This window comes from Homo sapiens, chromosome 3 (genome assembly GCF_000001405.40).
Source record: "Homo sapiens chromosome 3, GRCh38.p14 Primary Assembly".
Taxonomy (NCBI): Eukaryota; Metazoa; Chordata; class Mammalia; order Primates; family Hominidae; genus Homo; species Homo sapiens.
The window spans coordinates 197,999,601-198,024,797 of NC_000003.12; the positions used below are offsets into that span (position 1 = coordinate 197,999,601).

Genomic DNA, 25,197 nt, shown 5'->3' on the forward strand with positions numbered 1-25,197 from the left:
TCACTAATCCTGGACTTCCCGGGCTCAAGCAGTCCTCTCACCTCAGCTTCCTGCGTGGCTGGGACTACAGGCACGTGCCACCATGCCTGGCTAACTGTGTATTTTTAATAGAGTCGGGGTTTTGTCATGTTACCCAGGTTCACAAACTTCTGGGCTCAAATGATCCACCCACCTTGGCCTCCCAAAGTGCTGGGATTACAGGCCTGAGCCACCTCACCTGGCCTCAACAAATATTTGAGGCCCCGAGACATAGTAATAATTAGGACATACCCCTGATATGATTTGTTTTCGAATAAGCAGGGGCTGAGCCCATATGAAGGAAAGAGTAAACAATTTTTAAATTATAAAGGAAAGACTAAACAATGTTTAAATTATGAAGGAAAGACTAAACAATTTTTAAATGACTGGTTTTTTATAAAACAATGGAACTTTCAGGTAAAGCCATGAAATACTGTTTTGTTTATTTTTTTAAGTAGAGACAAGGTCTCACTCTATTGCCCAGGCTGGTCCCAAACGCCTGGGCTCAAGCAAGCCTCCTGCCTTGGCCTCCCAAAGTGCTGGGATTACAGGCATGAGCCACCACGCCTGGCAGAAATACTGCTTTTAAATGAAATCTTTTATACAACCCCTACATATAAAAAAAATGAAAGCTGCTTTAGTGGAAGCGTTGTTACCTCTTACTCTTTCTAAGACAGTCTGAGAGAAAATTAGAAAATTGAATCAAATTTGAAAATTAATGGTAGAGGTGCTATTAAAACCATGAAAATTGTTGACACTACCTTCACTGTTGAGAGGTGAAAGAGGTAAAAGCATTTAAACATATAGAGGTTATTCTTTCTTTTTTTGAGACGGAGTGTTGCTCTGTCACCCAGGCTGGAGTGCAGTGGTGTGATCTTGGCTCACTGCAACCTCCACCTCTCAGGGTCAAGCGACTCTCCTGCCTCAGCCTCCTGAGTAGCTGGGACTACAGGCGTGCATCACCACACCCAGCTAATTTTTGTATTTTTAGTGTAGATGGGGTTTCGCCATGTCGGCCAGGCTGGTCTGGAACTCGTGACCTCAGGTGGTCTGCCCACCTCGGCCTCCCAAAGTGCTGGGATTACAGGCGTGAGCCACCGTGCCCAGCATATCTCATCGAGTTTTATGAGACTTAAATGAGTAAATATCTGTAAAGCTCTTAGTACAGCGCTTGGCACACTGTGAGTGCCAACTAAGTATGAGCATCATATAAAAACCTGAGCTAAGGCTTCATGAAACAATACTTACCCTGACCACCTACAGTGCAGTCCTTTATTGTATTGAGTTTTTATTTTTATTATTTTTTTTTATTTTTAGTTTTTAGTTTTTAAAGAGAGAGAAAGAAATGTTAATCAAGATCCACTACGTTGGTTTGACAACTCACTAATACTCAGAAACTCTCTGTTTCTAATGCCCCCTCTACTCCCTCACTAGTGCTCATCCTTCTGAGTTGAGCTAAAGTTGCTTCCTCAGAAAAACCTTCCCGAATTCTTCAGACTAATGTAGGTGTTTCTGTTACTGTGTTCCTGTTAGCATCATATACTTCTCCTTTGGAATATTCATCACACTTCAAATGTTTTGTTTTAGTATCTGTCTTCCCTACTAGATTATGATCTTCATGAGAGCAGGTTCTGTTTATTGATTTACTACTGTAGCCTTCATTTAACAAAGTGCCTACCATGCGACAAATGCTTAGGAACTGTTGACTGCTAATACAGAAAGAGCTGCAAAGAAACGGTTATCAGGAAGGTCTCATGATGTGTAGCTGGAGTGCCCACCTGAGGATGGAATAACAGCGCTGATAAGATATTCTGCGCTCATCGACATGTACCTTCACAAAGGAGTCTACTTACTCCACATTTTATTCATAGGGCTAAGGGCTTCTGAACCTGAGCACTGCTAAAATAATTGCTAGTGCACAACATTAGGGGCACCTGTCACTATCTGGACAGTTTGACCTTGCTGCGATACCAAGTTAGCTAGTAACGTAACTCACATTGTAGTTGCAGAAGTTGCAGGCATTTTGGCATTGGAGCACCGCGACTCCTTCAGTTTCTGTCTGAGTGAGAGTTTTGTTCGTTGACAGGAGAGAAGTTTTGGAAGATGCTACATTACACATTTGTTTGATTTTGTAGCAAGGTGGTACAAGTGGAGGGGATAATTCTTATCTCCCCAACTTTCAAGCCTATTTTTTTCAATATTATTATTTTTTATTATAGAGATGGGGTTTCGCCACGTTGCCCAGGCTGGTCTCAAACTCCTGAGCTAAAGTGATCCACCCACCTTGGCCTCACTAAGTACTGAGATTTCAGGCGTGAGCCACTGCGCCCAGCCCTGAGCCTATGTTTTTATTTACTGTTTTGATAATGCTAAAGGAACAAAATATAATACACACAGGTAAGAGACTATTTTGTATAATTTTATAACTTTTGCAAGCAAATCTTGTCTCTAAAAATAAATAAAAACTAAAACAAATTGATTGCTTTCAATTAAATTTGTCTGGAAACTCCATCAGTGCTTTCTTTTTTCTCTTACTAGAACTTTTTTTTTTGAGACAAGGTCTCACTCTATTTCCCAGGCTGGAGTGCAGTGGCATGATCCTGGGCTGAGGTGATCCTGCCACTTCAGCCTCTCAGGTAACTGAGACTATAAGTACACACCACTGCACACCTGGCTAACTTTTTGTATTTTTAGTAGAGACAGGGTCTCACCATGTTGGCCAGGCTGGTCTCGAACTCCCAACCTCAAATGGTCAACCGCCTCAGCCTCCCAGAGTGCTGGGGTTACAAATGTGAGTCACTGCGCCCAGCTAGGACATTTAAAAACTAATGGACATAGGCTGGGCACAGTGGCTCATACCTGCAATCCCAGCACTTTGGCAGGCCAAGGCGGGTGGATCACCTGAGATCAGGAGTTTGAGACCAGTGTGGCAAACATAGTGAAACCCCGTCTCTACTAAAAATGCAAAAATTAGTCAGACATGGTGGTGCATGCCTGTAGTCCCAGCTAGTTGGGAGGCTGAGGAAGGAGAATCACTTGAACCCATGAGGCAGAGCTTGTAGTGAGCTGGGATCGTGCCACTGCACTCCAGCCTGGGTGACAGAGCAAGACCCTGTCTCAAAATAAAATAAAGTGAAAATTACAATAGAAATTTTATACTTATGTCAAAGTATAAAAGTATTTAATACCTCCATCATAAGCCTGGTTATGGAATCCCTGTGTAGCAGTCCCTGTGCGGCAAGAACGTTGTGAGTGATCACTTACAGTGATGGCCTCTGGCCTCCAAAATCTTTCTTAAGGTCCTAATGTGCTCATTGTTGAGATTCTCAATTGTTATGCTAGAGTTGTTTTTGAAAGGACAGCAGTAAAAATTGCTTTGTTTGAATTATTCCACAGCTGGTATAAAGCAAATTACAGCATGGCTGAGAAGTTAGACTGGGGCCGAGGAATGGGCTGTGACTTTGTCAGGAAGAGCTGTAAATTCTGGATTGATCAGCAGAGACAAAAGTAAGAATGCATTTCCTCACAGTGTCACTGATTACACAGTTCCTTTCTGACTTTATTCTTTATCCTGAGCCTAAAATGCTATTTTCAAAATGTAGTCTGAGCAGTTCAATTTTAAAATATATAGAAAACCATCTATAGATGGTTGGTAATAATATAGTGAGAAGTTAGCTGTAAGTAGTTTTTAATCATATACTAAAGGAATCCACAGTGAAGGGCCCACAGCCATGAACATTTCTATTCAGCTTATTAGAACTCATAAATATATATATTTTACAAACCTTTTGTTTCCTCTGTCATTTGTGGTGTTTTCTTCAGAGAATGCACCTGTAAACATAGATGCAAATATTGATTCAGTATCAAAAAAAAGGCACTTTTGAATAGGGGTTTCCAAATCCAGATGCATATTATAATCACCTAGCAAGCTTTTAAAAAATACAGAGTAAGTTTGATATCTATCTATATATCATCTATACAGATACATATCATACATAGTAAGTTTGACATTATCTATATATCATCTATACAGATACATATCATACGTAGTAAGTTTGACATCTATCTATATATCATCTATACAGATACATATCATACGTAGTAAGTTTGACATCTATCTATATATCATCTATACAGATACATATCATACGTAGTAAGTTTGCCATCTATCTATATATCATCTATACAGATACATATCATACGTAGTAAGTTTGCCATCTATCTATATATCATCTATACAGATACATATCATACGTAGTAAGTTTGCCATCTATCTATATATCATCTATACAGATACATATCATACGTAGTAAGTTTGCCATCTATCTATATATCATCTATACAGATACATATCATACGTAGTAAGTTTGCCATCTATCTATATATCATCTATACAGATACATATCATACGTAGTAAGTTTGACATCTATCTATATATCATCTATACAGATACATATCATACGTAGTAAGTTTGCCATCTATCTATATATCATCTATACAGATACATATCATACGTAGTAAGTTTGCCATCTATCTATATATCATCTATACAGATACATATCATACGTAGTAAGTTTGCCATCTATCTATATATCATCTATACAGATACATATCATACGTAGTAAGTTTGCCATCTATCTATATATCATCTATACAGATACATATCATACGTAGTAAGTTTGCCATCTATCTATATATCATCTATACAGATACATATCATACGTAGTAAGTTTGCCATCTATCTATATATCATCTATACAGATACATATCATACGTAGTAAGTTTGCCATCTATCTATATATCATCTATACAGATACATATCATACGTAGTAAGTTTGCCATCTATCTATATATCATCTATACAGATACATATCATACGTAGTAAGTTTGCCATCTATCTATATATCATCTATACAGATACATATCATACGTAGTAAGTTTGACATCTATATATCATCTATACAGATACATATCATACGTAGTAAGTTTGACATCTATCTATATATCATCTATACAGATACATATCATACGTAGTAAGTTTGACATCTATCTATATATCATCTATACAGATACATATCATACGTAGTAAGTTTGACATCTATCTATATATCATCTATACAGATACATATCATACGTAGTAAGTTTGACATCTATCTATATATCATCTATACAGATACATATCATACGTAGTAAGTTTGACATCTATCTATATATCATCTATACAGATACATATCATACGTAGTAAGTTTGACATCTATCTATATATCATCTATACAGATACATATCATACGTAGTAAGTTTGACATCTATCTATATATCATCTATACAGATACATATCATACGTAGTAAGTTTGACATCTATCTATATATCATCTATACAGATACATATCATACGTAGTAAGTTTGCCATCTATCTATATATCATCTATACAGATACATATCATACGTAGTAAGTTTGACATCTATCTATATATCATCTATACAGATACATATCATACGTAGTAAGTTTGACATCTATCTATATATCATCTATACAGATACATATCATACGTAGTAAGTTTGACATCTATCTATATATCATCTATACAGATACATATCATACGTAGTAAGTTTGACATCTATCTATATATCATCTATACAGATACATATCATACGTAGTAAGTTTGACATCTATCTATATATCATCTATACAGATACATATCATACATGTATATATACAGTTGTTCTTTAACCATGGAGGATTGCTTCCAGGACCCCCCTGGATAACAAAATCCATAGATGCTTATGTAAAAGTTTCTTATATAAAATGGAATAGTATTTGCATATAACCTATGTATATCCTCCTGTATACTTTAAATTACTTCTGGGTTATTTATAATACATAATACAATATAAATGCTATGGAAATAGTTGTTATACTATATTGTTTAGGGAAAAATGACAAAGAAGAAAAGTGCCCATGTTCAGTACAGATGCAACCATCATTTTTTCCCTGAATTTTTCTTTTCTTTTTCTTTTTCTTTTTTTTTTTTTTGAGACAGAGTCTCACTCTGTTGCCCAGGCTGGAGTGCAGTGGCGCAGTCTCAGCTCACTGCAACCTCTACCTACTAGGTTCAAGCAATTCTCATGCCTCAGCCTCCTGAATAGCTGTGATTATAGGCGTGCGCCACCACTCCCGGCTAATTTTGTAATTTTAATAGAGATGGGATTTTTCCTTGTTGGCCAGGCTGGCTCACACCTGTAATCCCAGCACTTTGGGAGGCCGAGGCGGGTGGGTCACTTGAGGTCAGGAGTTCAAGACCAGCCTGGCCAACATAGTGAAACCCCATCTCTACTAAAAATATAAAAATTAGCCAGGCGTGGTGGTGGGCGCCTGTAACCCTAGCTACTCAGGAGGCTGAGGCAAGGAAACAGCTTGAATCCAGGAGGCAGGGGTTGCAGTGAGCCAAGATCGCACCACTGTATTCCAGCCTGGGTGACAGAGTGAGGCTCTGTCTCAAAAAAGAGAAAGCAACAGCAACAACAAAAATGTTACATGAATGAATTCATATTGTATGTGAACTTTTGAGCGTGGCTTTTTTTACTCAGCATAATTCTCTGGAAATTCATCCAGGTTGTTGTATGTATCAATAATTTCACTTTTCATGGCTGGTTAATATTCCGCAGTATGATACACCACAGTTTGTTTAAACATTCACACTTTGAAGGACATCTGGATTGTTTCCAGTTTTGGGCTATTATGAATGAAGTTGCTGTGAACATTTATGTACAGGTTTGTGTGTGAACATATATCTTTATTTCTCCAGAAAAAGTGCCAGGAATGCAGTTACTGGCTCATTAAGTAATTACAGGTTTAGTTTTGTAAGAAAATGCCAAACTTTTTAATTCCTGACAGTGACGTGTAAGTGATATAGTTTCTCCACATCTTTGCCAGCATTTGGCGTTGTCACAATTTTTTGTTTAATCGATTCTGATAGGAGCGTAGTGATATTTTATTTTGGTTTTAATTTGTGTTTCCCTAACGGCTAATGATGTTGAACCTCTTTTCATGTGCTTACTCACTGATAATATATCCTCTTTGGCAAATTGTCTCTTTGTCTTTTTTTTTTTCTGAGATGGAGTTTTGCTCCGTCACCCAGGCTGGAGTGCAGTGGCGCGATCTTGGCTCACTGTAACCTCTGCCTCCCAGGTTCAAGCAATTCTTTTGCCTCAGCCTCCAGAGTAGCTGGGACTACAGGCACGTACCACTATGTCTGGCTAATTTTTGAATTTTTAGTAGAGATGGGGTTTTACCATGTTGGCCAGGCTGGTCTCGAACTCCTGACCTCGTGATCCACCTGCCTCAGCCTCCCAAAGTGCTGGGATTATAGGCGTGAGCCACTCTTAAGCCAATTTTTTAATTGGATTGTTTTTTACTGTTGAGTTTTGAGAGTTCTTCATGTATTTTGGGTATTTTGGGTAGTAGTAGTCCTTTGTCAGATATGTGGTTTGCAAATATTTTCTCCCAGTACATAGCTTGTCTTTTTGTCCTTTTAACAGGGGCTTTTGTAGGGCAAATGTTTTTAGTTTTGACGGAGTCCAGAATATCAGTTTGTCCTCTTACTGTGTCTTTGATGTCAAGTCTAAGAAGTGTTTGCCAAGCTCTAGATCTTGAAAGTTTTCTTATGTTTTTTTCAAAAGTTTTGTAGTTTACACTTTACATTTAAGTCCATGATTCATTTGAGTTAAGTTTTGTATAAGGTGGGAGACTTAGATCAAGGTTTGTTTCTTTGTGTACAGATAGGCAATGGCTTTAGCACCATTTGTTGAAAAGGCTATCTTTCCTTCATGGAATTGCTTTTGTGCCTTTGGCAGAAACCATCAGTTGGGTGTATTTGTGGTGATCTGTTTCTATCTGTTTCTGTGTTTTCCGTTCTGTTCTAGTGATCCATGTGTCCATGCCTTCACCAATAACACACAGTCCTTAATTACTGTAATTATTTAATAAGTCTTGAAATTGGGTAGACTGATTCTTTCCACTATTTTAAAATTGTTCTGGCTGTTTTGGTTCCTTTGCATTTCCATCTACGTTTTACAATTATCTCGTCTGTATCTGCCAAAAGACTTGCAGGGATTTTGCTAGGAGCTGCATTAACCCTGTGTGTCAGTTTGAGGAGAATTGACATTTTTACTGTGTTGAGTTTTCCAATCCATAAACATGGGAGAAAACATTCAGTCTTTCATTATTAAATATAATGTTAGCTGCAGATTTTTTATACATGTTCTTTATCAAGTTGAGAAAGTAGCTGTCTATTCCTGTGTTTCTGAGAGCTTTAATCATGAATGGATATTGCCTTCTGTCAAATGCTCTTTCTACTTTAGTTGCTATGCATAATCAAGTGATTTTTTTCGCCTGTTAATATGGTGGACTTCATTGGTTGATTTTCAAATATTAAATCACCCTTGCATTCCTGGAGTAAACCCCACTTGGTGATGGCTTATAATTATTTCTGTATGTTGCTGAATTCTATGTACTATTATTTTGTTGTGGATTTTTGTTTCTATATTTGTGACGAATATAGATCTGGAGTTTTCTCTTTTTTCCCCAATTATTTTACCTTTAATTAATCAGTATGGCTCTCAGAACAATTATATTATGTCAGTTAAACTTGATCTTTTTCAAATCTGACACATTTTGAAAAACAGGTATATCCTTCCAGTAAGAGAGATTTAAAAAATAATAGTAAGAAGAAAATTTATGAAATACATAATAATTATTACTAAATGAGCAAATAATGGGCTCTCCTGTCATACTTAATATTGACTTGATTTAAATTATTATTTATGGCCAGACATGGTGGCTTACACTTGTAATCCTAGCACTTTGGGAGGCTGAGGCAGGCTGATTGCTTGAGCCCAGGAGTTCAAGACTAGCCTGGACAACATGGCGAAAGCCCATCTCTACAACAAAATACAAAAATGAGGTGGGCATGGTGGCCCATGCCTGTAGTCCCAGCTACTCAGAAGGCTGAAGCAGGAGGATCACTTGAGCCCAGAAGCTCAAGGCTGCAGTGAGCTATGACTGCACCACTGCACTCCATCCTGGGCATCTCTACATAAATAAATGATTTATATAATACTCTGAAGAATAAATCCCAGTATATGATGAGGTGTTTATCATGCTTTATTTTTATTTTGATTCAGTTCAAAATATTTTTCTCTTTTAATTCAAAACTCTTGTGTCACTTTGAGTTCAAAATATTTTTAACTTTCTCTTGAGATTTCTTCTTTGACCACTGTATAATTTAGAAGTGCTTTGTTTAATTTCCAGCTATTTTGAGATGTTCCAGCTATCTTTCTGTTACTGATTTCTAGTTTAATTCCATTGTTGCAAGAGAGCAGAACATGGTATGATTTCTCTTTTACATTTGTTAAGGTGTGTTTCATGGCCCAGAATGTGGTCTGTCTTGGTGAATGCACCATGTAAGCTTGAAAAAAATCTGTTGTCTGCTGTTTTTGGTTGAAGTAGTCTGTAGAGTCTGCTATATCCAGTTTGTTAATGGTGCTGTTGAACTCAACTGTGTCCTTACTGATTTTCTGCCTGCTGCATCTGTCCATTTCTGAGAAATGGATATTCAAATCTGCAGTGATAATAATGGATTCATCTATTTCATCTTGCAGTTCTATCCATTTTGACTTACATATTTTGACACTTTATAGTTAGGTGCACACATGTTTAGGATTGTTATATTTTCATAGAGTACTGATTCCTTTATCATTTTGTAATTCCTCTCTTTATCTCTGATCATTTTCTTTGAAAAGAAAAAAGTTCTTTTTTGTACCATCTTTGTCTAGTTTCTGTATCAGAGTAATACTAGCTTTATAAAATGAACTAGGAAGTTTTTCCTCCTCTTCTATTTTTCTGGAAGAGATTGTATAAAATTGGTGTTAATTCTTCTCTAAGTGTTTGGTAGCATTCTCCAGTGAAACATCTGGGCCTGGAGATTTCTCTTTTGGAAGTCTTAAAATTGTGAATTATTGTGAATTAAACTTCTTTAGTAGTTACAGGGCTATTCTTATCATCTGTTTCATAGTGCATGAATTGTGGTAACATGTTTTTTAAGGAATTGGTTCATTTTGTCTAAGTTATCAAGTTTATGTGTATAGGGTTTTTTGTAGTATTCCATTATTATTCTTTTGACATCTGTAGGGTCTGTTTTAATTTGTAATTTTTGTTGGTACATACTAGGTGTATATATTAATGGGGTAAATGAGATATTTTGATATAGGCATACACTGTGAAATAATCTCATCATGGAGGATGGGATATCCATCCTATGGGGTCTGTTGTGATATCTCTTTTCAGTCCTGATATTGGTAATTTTGCATGTTCTCTTTATCTTTTTCTAGAGGTTTGCCAATTTTACTGATCTTAAAGAACCAGCTTTTTGTATTGTTGATGTCTTCTATTGTTTTTTTGTTTTCAAATTCATTGATTTCTGCTCCCTGCTATATCTTTCCCACTGCTTGTTTTTGGTTTATTTATTTAATTATTATGATGATGATTATTTTTTGAGATGGAGTCTCACTCTGTCGCCCAGGCTGGAGTGCAGTGGCACAGTCTTGGCTCACTGCAGCCTCCGCCTCCCGGGTTCAAACAATTCTCCCGACTCAGCCTCCCAAGTAGCTGGGACTACAGGTGCACACCACCACACCCCGCTAATTTTGTATTTTTTAGTAGGGATTTCACCATGTTGGCCAGGCTGGTCTTGAACTCCTGACCTCAAGTGATCTGCATGCCTTGGCCTCCCAAAGTGCTGGGATGACAGGTGTGAGTCACCACGCCCAGCGTTTTCTGTTTTGTTTTATTTTTAAAGACAAGGTCTGTTGCCCAGGCTTGAGTACAATGGGTGCGATCATGAGGCTCACTGCAGCCTTGACCTCCTGGGCTCAAGCAAACCTTTCTCCTCAGCCTTTCAAGTAGCTGGGACTACAGGCACACACCCCCACACCCAGCTAAATTTTTGTATTTTTGTAGAGACAGGGTTTCACTGTATTGCTCAGGCTAGTCTTGAACTCCTGGGCTCTAGCAATCGGCCCACCTCGGCCTCCCAAAGTGCTGGGATTATAGTCGTGAGCCACTGTGCCTGGCCTATTTTTCTCTTCTTAATCTTGATTTTTGAGATTATTGATTTGAGATATTTCCTGTTTCTAATGTAGCTATTTGTTGCTATAAATTTTCCTCTTAGCATTTCTTTAGCTTTATCTCACAAATTCCAATATGTTATATTTTTATTTTCATTCAGTTCAATGTATTTTTAAAAATTTTTCTTTGAGATTCTTCTTTGACCCATCGATTATTTAGAAGTGTGTTGTTTAGTATACAAATATTTGGAAATTTTTCTGTTATTTTTTGTTGTTGAATTGTATTTGGAGAATATATGCTGTATGATTTGAGTTCTTTTAAATTTGTTCAGGTTTGTTTTATGGCCCAAGATATGGTCTTATCTTGATATAAGTTTTTTATTTTTTTTTATTATTATACTTTAAGTTTTAGGGTACATGTGCACAACGTGCAGGTTTGTTACATATGTATACATGTGCCATGTTGGTGTGCTGCACCCATTAACTTGTCATTTAGTATTAGGTATATCTCCTAATGCTATCCCTCCTCACTCCCCCCACCCCACAACAGGTCCTGGTGTGTGATGTTCCCCTTCCTGTGTCCATGTGTTCTCATTGTTCAATTCCCACCTATGAGTGAGAACATGCGGTGTTTGTTTTTTTGTCCTTGTGATAGTTTGCTGAGAATGATGGTTTCCAGCTTCATCCATGTCCCTACAAAGGACATGAACTCATCCTTTTTTATGGCTGCATAGTATTCCATGGTGTATATGTGCCACATTTTCTTAATCCAGTCTATCATTGTTGGACATTTGGGTTGGTTCCAAGTCTTTGCTATTGTGAATAGTGCCGCAATAAACATACGTGTGCATGTGTCTTTATAGCAGCATGATTTATAGTCCTTTGGGTATATACCCAGTAATGGGATGGCTGGGTCAAATGGTATTTCTAGTTCTAGATCCCTGAGGAATCGCCACACTGACTTCCACAATGGTTGAACTAGTTTACAGTCCCACCAACAATGTAAAAGTGTTCCTATTTCTCCACATCCTCTCCAGCACCTGTTGTTTCCTGACTTTTTAATGATCGCCATTCTAACTGGTGTGAGATGGTACACCAAAAGCAATGGCAACAAAAGCCAAAATTGACAAATGGGATCTAATTAAACTAAAGAGCTTCTGCACAGAAAAAGAAACTACCATCAGAGTGAACAGGCAACCTACAGAATGGGAGAAAATTTTTGCAATCTACTCATCTGACAAAGGGCTAATATCGAGAATCTACAATGAACTCAAACAAATTTACAAGAAAAAAACAAACAACCCCATCAAAAAGTGTTTTTTTTATTTTTTAAATTTTTTTGAGACGGAGTTTCACTCTGCCACCCAGGCTGGAGTGCAGTGGTGCAATCTCGGCTCACTGCAGCCTCTGGTGCCGAGTTCAAGCTCTTCTCCTGCCCCAGCCTTCCAGGTAGCTGGGACTACAGGCGCCCACCACCATGCCCGGCTAATTTTTTTATTTGTAGTAGAGACGGGGTTTCATTCTGTTGACCAGGCTGGTCTTGAACTGCTGACCTCAGCTGATCTGCCCGCCCTGGCTTCCCAATGTGTTGGGATTACAGGCGGGAGCCACCGTGTACATTCGGACGCTGGGTGAAGCGTTGCACAAATGTCAGTTAAGTCCTGTTGGTTGATGATGTTGGGTTCTTCTATATCCTTGCTAATTTCCTGCCTAGTTGGTCTATCAGTTGTTGAGAGAATTCACCACCATATCAGTCTTTGAGTCCTGAAGTCCCTAACTAGTCTGACTTCTCTCCACCCTTCAGAGCCCCCTAACTAGTCTGACTTCTCTGTACCGTTCAGAGCCTCCTAACGAGTCTGACTTCTCTCCACCCTTCAGAGTCCCCTAACTAGTCTGACTTCTCTCCACCCTTCAGAGTCCCCTAACTAGTCTGACTTCTCTGTACCCTTCAGAGTCCCCTAACTAGTCTGCCTTCTCTGTACCCTTCAGAGCCCCCTAACTAGTCTGACTTCTCTGTACCTTTCAGAGCCTCCTAACTAGTCTGACTTCTCTGTACCCTTCAGAGCCCCCTAACTAGTCTGACTTCTCTCCACCCTTCAGAGTCCCCTAACTAGTCTGACTTCTCTGTACCCTTCAGAGTCCCCTAACTAGTCTGACTTCTCTGTACCCTTCAGAGTCCCCTAACTAGTCTGACTTCTCTGTACCCTTCAGAGCCCCCTAACTAGTCTGACTTCTCTGTACCCTTCAGAGTCCCCTAACTAGTCTGACTTCTCTGTACCCTTCAGAGTCCCCTAACTAGTCTGACTTCTCTGTACCCTTCAGAGCCCCCTAACTAGTCTGACTTCTCTCCACCCTTCAGAGCCCCCTAACTAGTCTGACTTCTCTCCACCCCTCAGAGCCCCCTAACTAGTCTGACTTCTCTCCACCCTTTAGAGCCCCCTAACTAGTCTGACTTCTCTGTACCCTTCAGAGCCCCTTAACTAGTCTGACTTCTCTGTACCCTTCAGAGTCCCCTAACTAGTCTGACTTCTCTGTACCCTTCAGAGCCCCCTAACTAGTCTGACTTCTCTCCACCCTTCAGAGCCCCCCAACTAGTCTGACTTCTCTCCACCCCTCAGAGCCCCCTAACTAGTCTGACTTCTCTCCACCCTTTAGAGCCCCCTAACTAGTCTGACTTCTCTCCACCCTTCAGAGCCCCCTAACTAGTCTGACTTCTCTCCACCCATCAGAGCCCCCTAACTAGTCTGACTTCTCTCCACCCTTCAGAGCCTCCTAACTAGTCTGACTTCTCTGTACCCTTCAAAGCCTCCTAACTAGTCTGACTTCTCTGTACCCTTCAGAGCCCCTTAACTAGTCTGACTTCTCTGTACCCTTCAGAGCCTCCTAACTAGTCTGACTTCTCTCCACCCTTCAGAGCCCCCTAACTAGTCTGACTTCTCTCCACCCTTCAGAGCCCCCTAACTAGTCTGACTTCTCTCCACCCTTCAGAGTCCCCTAACTAGTCTGACTTCTCTCCACCCTTCAGAGCCCCCTAACTAGTCTGACTTCTCTCCACCCTTCAGAGCCTCCTAACTAGTCGGACTTCTCTGTACCCTTCAGAGCCCCTTAACTAGTCTGACTTCTCTGTACCCTTCAGAGCCCCCTAACTAGTCTGACTTCTCTGTACCCTTCAGAGCCCCCTAACTAGTCTGACTTCTCTCCACCCCTCAGAGCCCCCTAACTAGTCTGACTTCTCTCCACCCTTTAGAGCCCCCTAACTAGTCTGACTTCTCTCCACCCTTTAGAGCCCTCTAACTAGTCTGACTTCTCTGTACCCTTCAGAGCCTCCTAACTAGTCTGACTTCTCTGTACCCTTCAGAGTCCCCTAACTAGTCTGACTTCTCTGTACCCTTCAGAGTCCCCTAACTAGTCTGACTTCTCTGTACCCTTCAGAGCCTCCTAACTAGTCTGACTTCTCTGTACCCTTCAGAGCCCCTTAACTAGTCTGACTTCTCTGTATCCTTCAGAGCCCCCTAACTAGTCTGACTTCTCTCCACCCTTCAGAGTCCCCTAACTAGTCTGACTTCTCTCCACCCTTCAGAGCCCCCTAACTAGTCTGACTTCTCTCCACCCATCAGAGCCCCCTAACTAGTCTAACTTCTCTGTATCCTTCAGAGCCCCCTAACTAGTCTGACTTCTCTCCACCCTTCAGAGCCCCCTAACTAGTCTGACTTCTCTCCACCCTTCAGAGCCCCCTAACTAGTCTGACTTCTCTCCACCCTTCAGAGCCCCCTAACTAGTCTGACTTCTCTCCACCCATCAGAGCCCCCTAACTAGTCTAACTTCTCTGTATCCTTCAGAGCCCCCTAACTAGTCTGACTTCTCTCCACCCTTCAGAGCCCCCTAACTAGTCTGACTTCTCTCCACCCTTCAGAGTCCCCTTAACTAGTCTGACTTCTCTGTATCCTTCAGAGCCCCCTAACTAGTCTGACTTCTCTCCACTCTTCAGAGCCCCCTAACTAGTCTGACTTCTCTCCACCCTTCAGAGCCCCCTAACTAGTCTGACTTCTCTCCACCGTTCAGAGCCCGCTAACTAGTCTGACTTCTCTCCACCCTTCAGAGCCCCCTAACTAGTCTGACTTCTCTCCACCCATCAGAGCCCCCTACCTAGTCTGACTTCTCTCCACCCATCAGAGCCCCCTAAGTAGTCTGACTTCTCTCCACCCTTCAGAGCCCCCTAACTAGTCTGACTTCTCTCCACCGTTCAGAGCCCGCTAACTAGTCTGACTTCTCTCCACCCTTCAGAGCCCCCTAACTAGTCTGACTTCTCTCCACCCTTCAGAGCCTCCTAACTAGTCTGACTTCTCTGTACCCTTCAGAGTCCCCTAACTAGTCTGACTTCTCTGTACCTTTCAGAGCCTCCTAACTAGTCTGACTTCTCTCCACCCTTCAGAGCCCCCTAACTAGTCTGACTTCTCTGTACCTTTCAGAGCCTCCTAACTAGTCTGACTTCTCTCCACCCTTCAGAGCCCCCTAACTAGTCTGACTTCTCTCCACCCTTCAGAGCCCCCTAACTAGTCTGACTTCTCTCCACCCTTCAGAGCCCCCTAACTAGTCTGACTTCTCTCCACCCTTCAGAGCCCCCTAACTAGTCTGACTTCTCTCCACCCTTCAGAGCCCCCTAACTAGTCTGACTTCTCTCCACCCTTCAGAGTCCCCTAACTAGTCTGACTTCTCTCCACCCTTCAGAGTCCCCTAACTAGTCTGACTTCTCTCCACCCCTCAGAGCCCCCTAAGTAGTTTGACTTCTCTCCACTCTTCAGAGCCCCCTAACTAGTCTGACTTCTCTCCACCCTTCAGAGCCCCCTAACTAGTCTGACTTCTCTCCACCCTTCAGAGCCCCCTAACTAGTCTGACTTCTCTCCACCCTTCAGAGCCCCCTAACTAGTCTGACTTCCCTCCACCCTTCAGAGTCCCCTAACTAGTCTGACTTCTCTGTACCCTTCAGAGTCCCCTAACTAGTCTGACTTCTCTCCACCCTTCAGAGTCTTCTTTTGTTTCTTTAATTTACAGTGTCTGGGTTTTTAGTTGTACTTAGAAGGGGGAATAGAGAAAAGCACATCTAGTCCATCTTCCAGGAATTAGAAGTGGTACTGATATTTCTATTGTTATATTTAAAAAAAAATTCCCCTGGTGGGCCGGGTGTGGTGTGGTGGCTCATACCTGTAATCCCAGCAGTTTGGGAAGAGGGAAGATGGCTTGAGCCCAGGAGTTTGAGACCAGACTGGGCAACATGACCCCATCTCTACAAAGTAAAAAAATTAGGCTGGCATGGTGGCGTGGCCCTGTAGTCCCAGCTACTTGGAGGCTGTGGTGAGAGGATCCCTTGAGCCCAGGAGGTCACAGCTGTGGTGAGCTGTGAGCATGCCACTGCACTCCAGTGTGGGTGACAGCAAGACCCTGTTGCAAAAACAAAAAAAAAAAAAAAAAAAGGAAAAGAAAATACTATTCTCATCTTTTCTCACCTAGGTTAGGTCATAAAGCAATTTAAATCACTTGTAGTTTCTACTAAGGAGTCTGACCTCTGAGTTGTAACCCTAATGTGAAGATAATAGGCAGTAGCCGGAAGCACCGGCAACCACTCTGGGTGTCCCCAGCTTGTTACCCCTGCACTACAGGTTGACCTGCCAGTTCTCAAATTTTGCTGCTTATGAAAATCGTCTACAGAACTGGAAAAACTCTCCATACCCCAGTTACTAATTAAGTCATGACTGTGCTGAGAGCCGGGCACTAGCATTGTGTGAGTTTGTTTTAATAAATTCCCAAGTGATTTTATGTGTAATGGAGTTTGGGAACCACTGTTCCGGTGTGTCAAAGGAAGTATGTAACTCACACTGCAGCTGCAAGAGCTTAGGGAGGTTTTTGTTTGTTCACTTTTCTGTTAACAGTTGCAACTCTGTTTATTCCCCTTTTGGTCCCAATTATAACATCACCTAAGACCAGAAACAGAAGGGACTTCTACTTCTTTATTCTTAAAAACTAAAACTGTGGGTCCCCTGAATTCTCTCCTGTCCTTTGATTCTTAAGCCACTGTCAGCAAGGTTTTTTTTTGAAGTCCAAATAGTAAATATTTTAGGTTTTGAGGGTTATTACAGTCTCTGTCACAACTACTTACCTCTACTTTTATACAGCAAGAGGCAAAACAAATGGGCATGGCCATGTTCCTGTCATCTTCCCCATCTCTACAGAAAGTAAATGAGCATGGTGGCACATGCTTGTAGTCCCACTTGCTTGGGAGGCTGAGGTGGGAGGATTGCTTGAGCCGAGAAGATCAAGGCTGCAGTGAGCAATGGTTGTGCCACTGCACTCCAGCCTGGGCAACGAAACCCTGTCTCAAAAACAAAAAATCGACAAGGAAAAAAAAAACAGGTTGTGGTCAGGATTTGACCCAAGAGTTGAGTTTGCTGACCCCTGTCACAGTCATTCAAATGTCCCACTTGTGAGGCATTGAAATTCAGAATCATTTACAGGATAGAAGCCATCTTCTGACATCACAGACCCAGTCTGCCTGTATGTATGTTAGAGATTCCAGTGTGGCTGTTCTCAAGCACTTCTGGGCTTCGTCATTTGTGACTCTTCTCCATTGTTGGGAAACCAGGGTGAGAAGGGATTGGTTGAGTGAGCGTAGGCAGAGCCATACTTCTTTGAATCACTTGAATCTACACCTACTTAAAGTAAGGTTCTTTCTATGTTCGAAGCAACTAAAACTGATAAATCGCCCAACTCCTCTGCCTAGCTCATTTGGTGTTAATATTGGCTCTAGAGCTATACTGTCTAATATGGTACCATTAGCCACATGTAGTTAAACTTATATTTAAATTAAAGTTAAATACCATTTAAAATTTAGTTCCTCAGGGCCAGGCATGGTGGCCCATGACCGTAATCCCAGCACTTTGGGAGGCAGAGGTGGGCAGATCACGAGGTCCAGAGATTGAGACCATCCTGGCCAAGATGATGAAACCTGGTCTCTACTAAAAATACAAAAATTAGCTGGGTGTAGTGGGACACACCTGTAGTCCGAGCTACTTGGGAGGCTGAGGGAGGAGAATTGCTTGAACCCGGGAGGTGGAGCTTGCAGTGAGCCGAGATCGCACTACTGCACTCCAGCCTGGCGACAGAGCAAGACTCTGTCTCAAAATAAATAAATAAATAAGTTCCTCAGTTAACTAGCCACCTTTGAAGTGACATACATGATTAGTGGCTACCATATTGGGCAGCACAGATGTACACCTTTTCCCGCTCTCTTGACAGTGCTTCTCTGGAATTTGTAAGCCATGAATCTTAGACAGCTCTAACTTTGGAATGTTTAAAATCACTAAGTTTTAACTTCTTTTTTCCTCTTTATTCATTTAGCCAAAACTCATTTTATATAATTTAAAGTAAATATAATATGCCTTTTGGTTTTAGACAAAAAACAGAAATGACTTTCATGGTATCAAGAAAGTAACTGATTAACAACTATTGGAACATGAGCTTCCATATTCATTGGAAGCTTTATCATGGGAAGTTAAAATATTGCCTTATATGAAGATTTTACGAAAATGGTATAAACAGCGGAAATCACATTTATTGAGTAGCCTGCATGTGCCAGGCACTGAGTGCTTTGCGGTTGAAGCTCAGGAAAGTTAAGTAAATTCCACAGAAGTGTGGCTGGTGCTGGTGTTTGAACCCAGACCTGTGTGACGACTTCAAAGCCTTTGCTTTCCTGTTAGGCTGTGCTGCTTCCCATTTGCTGAAGACTGTGGCAAGTATTTTACGTGTTTCATCTTAGGAAGCTGTAACTCCCTAAAGATGTATGCTGAGACACCATGTTCATTTAAATAAGACAAGTCATCAATTTTCCTTAAAATAAGAAATATTTAATACAGGCTTTTTTTTCCTTAAGAAATATGTGGAAGAAGAGGAAAATTGTCAATAATTCGATTACAATTTGTTAGACCAGTATTAATAGGATTTCTATTATTTAGGAATACTGAGATTTTATCTATGAAGCTGCTATTGTGATATTAATATAATTTTTATATCGTCAACTGTCAGTTTGATGACTGCTAAGAATTACAGGTTTGTTTGAAGGTTATTTTTGCAAGACAGTGCAACAGATTCTGATATCTTTTGATAATTTACATGCCCTTTTTTCAAATTATACTTTCAAGATTACATTTAATGGAACAGAACAAGTTGATAACAATTAGGAATATTCACACAATCTTTATTTTGCACAGGAAAATAAGATTGTCTGGTGAAGGTGGTCAGTTAAACAAACTGTCAGATTATTGAGCAGAGAAAATTCCACTCTTTGTAGCTGCAGGGCAGAGGGGACATTGCCTCCATCTCTTTCCAAGAATCCCATTTGTTAATTATGAAGGTTTGTATTTTTAGGCCAGGATCTGGAATTCCATTTGTTGGCTGTATAATGGACTTGCAGTATTTTCTTTAAAGTTTGATACCATGGTACTTCTCTTTGTTTGCAGGAGACAGATGCTGAGCCCTTACTGTGACACGCTCAGAAGTAACCCACTGCAGCTAACTTGCAGACAGGACCAGAGAGCAGTTGCCGTGTGTAATTTGCAGAAGTTCCCTAAGCCTTTACCACAGGAATACCAGGTAGAACAGGGCTGGGGCACAGTTTCAGGAATCAGCTTTTCAAAAGTAGTCTCCATTTTAACTAAAAGAGTAAATTCTCTTAAGATTCTTAATTTATAAGGCCTTGTTTGTTTTCTGTAAGTTAGAAAAAAATGGAATAATGCTTCCATTTCTTTAAAACTAATGTCCTAATTGATAGCACTTAGTTAAAATCTAGCAGTGTCTTATAATAATGGCAAGAATAATTTGAATATTTGATCTGTTTTTACCTGTTTATGTTTTCTAATTGTTTCCAAAGCCTTGCTATTTAAATTCCTCTAATTTACACAGAAAAAGAAATCTTTAAAGAAAATAACTTAAGTACTCCAATCCAGTTAATTAGAAGACTTGGAAACCCTGCTTTGGAAAAGATTTGATTCATGGGATCTGAAAGATTAAGGAAATGGTCCCACATATCTTGTCTGGATCTCTGATTTGACCTTTATGTTTCTTTTTATCTTTTATCTTTTTTTCCGAGACCGAGTCTCACTCTGTCGCCCAGGCTGGAGTGCAGTGGTGAGATCTCAGCTCACTGCAGCCTCCCCTTACCAGATTCAAGCGATTCTTGTGCCTCAGCCTCCCGAGTAGCTGGGTTTACAGCTGCAAGCCACCATGCCTGGCTAATTTTCATATTTTTAGTAGAGTTGGGGTTTCGCCATGTTGCCCAAGCTGGTCTTGAACTCCTGGCCTCAAGTGATCCATCTGCCTCGGCCTCCCAAAGCGCTGGGATTACAGGTGTGAGCCAACATGTCTGGCTACTTTTTGTATTTCTAATAGAGACAGGGCTTCACCATGTTGGCCAGGCTGGTCTCAAACTCCTGACCTCATGTGATCTGCCCGCCTCAGCCTCCCAAAGTGTTGGGATTACAGGCGTGAGCCACCATATGCCTGGCCATGACCTTTAAGTTTCTTGTTGCCAAAGCTATCTTTAAAAAGCCTCAACTTTACCTGCCATTTATAAAGGAACCTTTTGTCAGAAATGATGTCTCAGAAGCTAATTTAAAATAAAGCTGCTGAATTTTAAGCTTCCTACACATATTTGTGAGCTCACTGAATGCTTCAGATACCATAAAATAGTAACTATATTCATAGGCATAGTGATATAACTCAATAAGTTGGTGGAAAACGTGACATCTTTAAAAATTTATCTGGTGCATCCAGGGGTGTGAAAACACATACAATTATTTTATTTTTATTTATTTATTTTTGGAGATGGAGTCTTGCTGTGTCACCAGGCTGGAGTGCAGTGGTGCAATCTCGGCTCACTTCAACCTCTGCCTCCCAGGTTCAAACTATTCTCCTGCCGCAGCTTCTCAAGTAGCTGGGACTACAGGTGTGCGCCACCACACCCAGCTAATTTTTGTATTTTTTTTTTTTTTTTTTTTTTTTTTTTTTTTAGTAGAGACGGGGTTTCACTATATGTTGGCCGGGCTGGTCTTGAACTCCTGACCTCAGGTGATCCGCCCACCTCAGCCTCCCAAAGTGCTGGGATTACAGGCGTGATCCACCATGCCCGGCCATAAAATTAATTTTAAAAAAAAGGAACAATAAAATTTATCTGGTGCCTTGTACCTTTGGTATTCAAAGTATATTATATATATGATCTCATTTATTTTCTCAGATTTTAATTTTTTCAAGTTTGTCAAAACAACGTATAAACTGCCTCCTAAAAACTCTTGAAAAATTTATTTAAAATGTTGTAACTTTATGCATTAGTTCTGTGTTTTGTCAGCTCTTAAAACTTCTTTTTGCTCAGTGTAATTAAAACTACATGCTGTTAAAACATTAGTCTAATTTAACATTATGATATATAACTTAAGACTCATTTACTTACCTTGCTTATTTGTAAAACTGTAGCAACCTTTAACTACTCCTCTGGTGGTTTATTACTGTGTTCTTTATTTGGTGCCATTGATGAAGAAAGGTACATTAGTATCTTGTGTTATGTGGCATTAAAGGGTTGCGAGAAATTGCCTGTGCACTTCCTCAATTTTATACAGAATGTTTCTTACTTTCTTGTCTTCCCAATATTTTTTCTGCAGTACTTTGATGAACTCAGTGGAATACCTGCAGAAGATTTGCCTTATTATGGTGGCTCCGTGGAAATTGCTGACTACTGCCCTTTCAGTCAGGAATTCAGTTGGCATTTAAGTGGTGAATATCAGCGCAGCTCAGATTGTAGAATATTGGAAAATCAACCAGGTTAGTCGGCTAGTGAAATGAAGTATTATATACATATTAAAATTATGTATTAGCAATATAGAATCGTGGTTAAGGGCACAGACCCTAGAGCAGGACTGTCTGAATTTGCTTTATAGTTCAGCTGCTATCCATATGTAAGAAGTGACTTAACTTTTCCCTGCCTGTTTCTTCATCTGTACGATGGAGGCAATACTTAGAGAGTTGTGAGAATTAAATGAATTAATGTAGTAAGTGCTTACAATTGTGCCTGACCCATCGAAGGGATTATTCGCGTATGCATGCACACACGCTATATTTTGGTCATACCTTCTAGCTGCACGGCACTTTCCATTTGCAAAGCACTTTCATTCTTAACATTTTATTCTTCTGAAAACATGATGAGAAACATAAGGAAGATATTACTGTATTTCCCAGATAGGCGGATAGATACTAAGTGATATAGTTAAATTTGTGTCAGTGCAAGATCCTCCAATGCCATCCTCTTTTTATTAAAATACCTCAGATAAGCTGCTTTTTCCTCTTGTGGGGAATGTGCATTTTATGTAAGATAGAAGCAACATGTCACTCTTCAGATAGCAAAACAATGTTCTTGTCTCATGGCCAGTAAGATATACCACCATATTATTTGTTTCTTCTTAATACATATAAATGAACAAGATATCAAAGGAATAAACAGTATGGCAATTGGGTATTCTGCAATAATAGTTACAGCTCATACTAATTACCTTTGTAAACAGAAATGTTCTCACATCTGATGTAAGAAAGAGCAGTAAGTAGTTTTTCTCTCTGTGTTCATCAGAAGTTTTAACCTAGTCTCCAAACCCCCACCCCATTCCATACTTTATTACAGACTAAGGCATTTACATTCTAAATTTTTGTATTCTTACCTTTTACTCTTAAACTTGGCAGATGTAACTGGATTCCTGCAGTCATTTTTCCCCATCATTCATCTATTCAATAAATGTCCTGGCCAGGCGCAGTGGCTCACGCCTGTAATCGCAGCACTTTGGGAGGCCAAGGCAGGTGAATTGCTTGAGCTCAGAAGTTTGAGGCCAGCTGAGCAACATGGTGAAACCCTGTCTGTATCAAAAATCCAAAAAATTAGCCAGGTGTGATGGTGCACACCTGTGGTCCCAGCTATGGAGGAGGACGAAGCCAGAGGATTGCTTGAGCAGCCCAGGAGGCGGAGTTTGCAGTGAGTCGAGATCATGCCCCTGCACTCCAGCCTGGGCAACACAGTGAGACCCCATGTCACATAAAAATAATAAATAAATAAATATCCTAACAACTTATAACCACTCAGCAGTTCCATATTAAAGCAAAAGAAATGCACAGATCTGTCAGTTATGGATTTGCCAGAGATGTACTATCACATGTTATTGTTTTAGAGCTGGAGCTGGCAAACGTTTTTTGTTAACGGGGAAAATTATAAATATCTGGGGCTTTGTGGGTCATAAGGTCTCTAGCTTTCTGATTCAGCTCAGCCGTTACCGTCTGAAAGCAGTTACAGACAGTATGTACGTGAATGAATGTGCCAGGATTTGGCCTGAGGGTTGCAGTTTGCTGAATTCTGTTTTATTATTATTATTATTATTATTTTTAGAGACAAGGTCTCACTCTGTCACCCAAGTTGGAGTGCAGTGGCACCATCATAGCTCACTGTAACCTGTAACTCCTGGGCTCAAGTGATTCTCCTGCCTCAGACTCCCCAGAGCCAGGACTACAGGCATGCACCTCCACACCTGACTAATTTTTAAAAATTTTTGTAGAGATGAGGCTTGCTATGTTACCCAGACTGGCCTCAAACTCCTGGCCTCAAGCGGTCCTTCCTCCTTGGCCTCCCAAAGTGTTGAAATTATAGGCTTGAGCCACCACATCCAGCCCTGAACCCCATTTTAGACACTGATCACTATAGTTTTGAAAGACTCTGATACTCAAAAGAAGTAAAGAATTCTGTTTTATTCTAATTTGCATTTTTTAGCTTATATAATTCAGATTTATCAAAACTGGCATAAAACACTTATCTTTATAATATTTTAAAATGGGCTAATTGAACTCTCTACTTCCCCAAAGACAACTTATTGTAAAGAGTCTAAAGAGAGCAAATTACTGCTCGGGTTTAAGAGCTTTGTCCCTTTGTCCATTAGAGGCCTTTCATTCCTCTGCAGGTTTGTGCATACTGTGAGATTAGATCAGCATCTTACTAGGTTGGTGGAAGAGTAATTGTGGTTTTGCCGTTAAAGTAATGCGAAAACCGCAATTACTTCTGCACCAGCCTAATATTTGTGGACTTCCAGGAGGTGGCACAAGTTGAAGATATAAGAAAGTTTTCAAATGTTGCAACACCCCCCAAAAGTCTGCATTATATAAATCACTTGGCCTCATCCTATCATGAGTAATTTGGAGGTGCCTCCTATTTAGACCACCAGTGAAGATGATTTTATCTTGGTGTCTAGTGATCTAACGATTCTTAGTGCTAGTTCTTCTATATATTTAACCTAGAAAACGTTGGGCCCAGTTTTATTCCCTTGTGTCTGATGCAGTAATTTTCTCCCATTAATTCCTTTATTAAGAACCTAGTGTGAGTTTGGAACCCTGTGGATCCTAATTTTTTTTTTTTTTTTTTTTGAGACGGAGTCTCTCTCTGTCGCCCAGGCTGGAGTGCAGTGGTACAATCTCGGCTCACTGCAAGCTCCGCCTCCCGGGTTCACGCCATTCTCCTGCCTCAGCCTCCCGAGTAGCTGGGACTACAGGCGCCCGCCACCGCGCCCGGCTAATTTTTTGTGTTTTTAATAGAGACGGGGTTTCACCACGTTAGCCAGGATGGTCTCCATCTTCTGACCTCGTGATCTGCCCACCTCAGCCTCACAAAACCCTGGGATTACAGGCGTGAGCCACCGTGCCCAGCCTACCCTAATTTTTTAAATTTAAAATTTCCATGAAACATGTCTGATTTTTAAAGCAACTTTTAATCATAAAAATGGAATGGTTCAGTTTCTTGTTCTTTGAGCCAAAAGTCAATTTTTAAGGAGACTTTTCTTCTTTGCCTCAGAAATTTTTAAGAACTATGGCGCTGAAAAGTATGGACCTCATTCCGTTTGTCTAATTCAGAAATCAGCATTCGTTATGGAGAAGTGTGAGAGGAAGCTGAGTTACCCAGACTGGGGAAGCGGATGCTATCAGGTAAGCTTA

At 40.4% G+C, this 25,197-nt stretch overlaps 1 protein-coding gene across 7 annotated transcripts in view; it reads left to right on the top strand.

Annotated features, from left to right (window-relative positions):
* The window catches only part of LMLN (leishmanolysin like peptidase), an 83,504-nt gene that overhangs the window by 39,384 nt on the left and 18,923 nt on the right, over positions 1 to 25,197 (top strand). For 4 of the 7 annotated variants that reach the window (XR_007095764.1, NR_026786.2, NM_001136049.3 and 1 more), the window contains exons 12-15: positions 3,415 to 3,525; positions 19,653 to 19,785; positions 21,846 to 22,005; positions 25,058 to 25,188. Coding sequence is in view for 4 of the 7 variants with exons in the window: in NM_001136049.3 (NP_001129521.3) it covers positions 3,415 to 3,525; positions 19,653 to 19,785; positions 21,846 to 22,005; positions 25,058 to 25,188 (535 nt within the window). In the remaining 3 variants the exon portion in view is untranslated. The remainder of the gene's footprint in view (positions 1 to 3,414; positions 3,526 to 19,652; positions 19,786 to 21,845; positions 22,006 to 25,057; positions 25,189 to 25,197) is intronic. The other 3 variants (NR_026787.2, NM_033029.4, XM_047449156.1) reach the window with 1 other exon arrangement.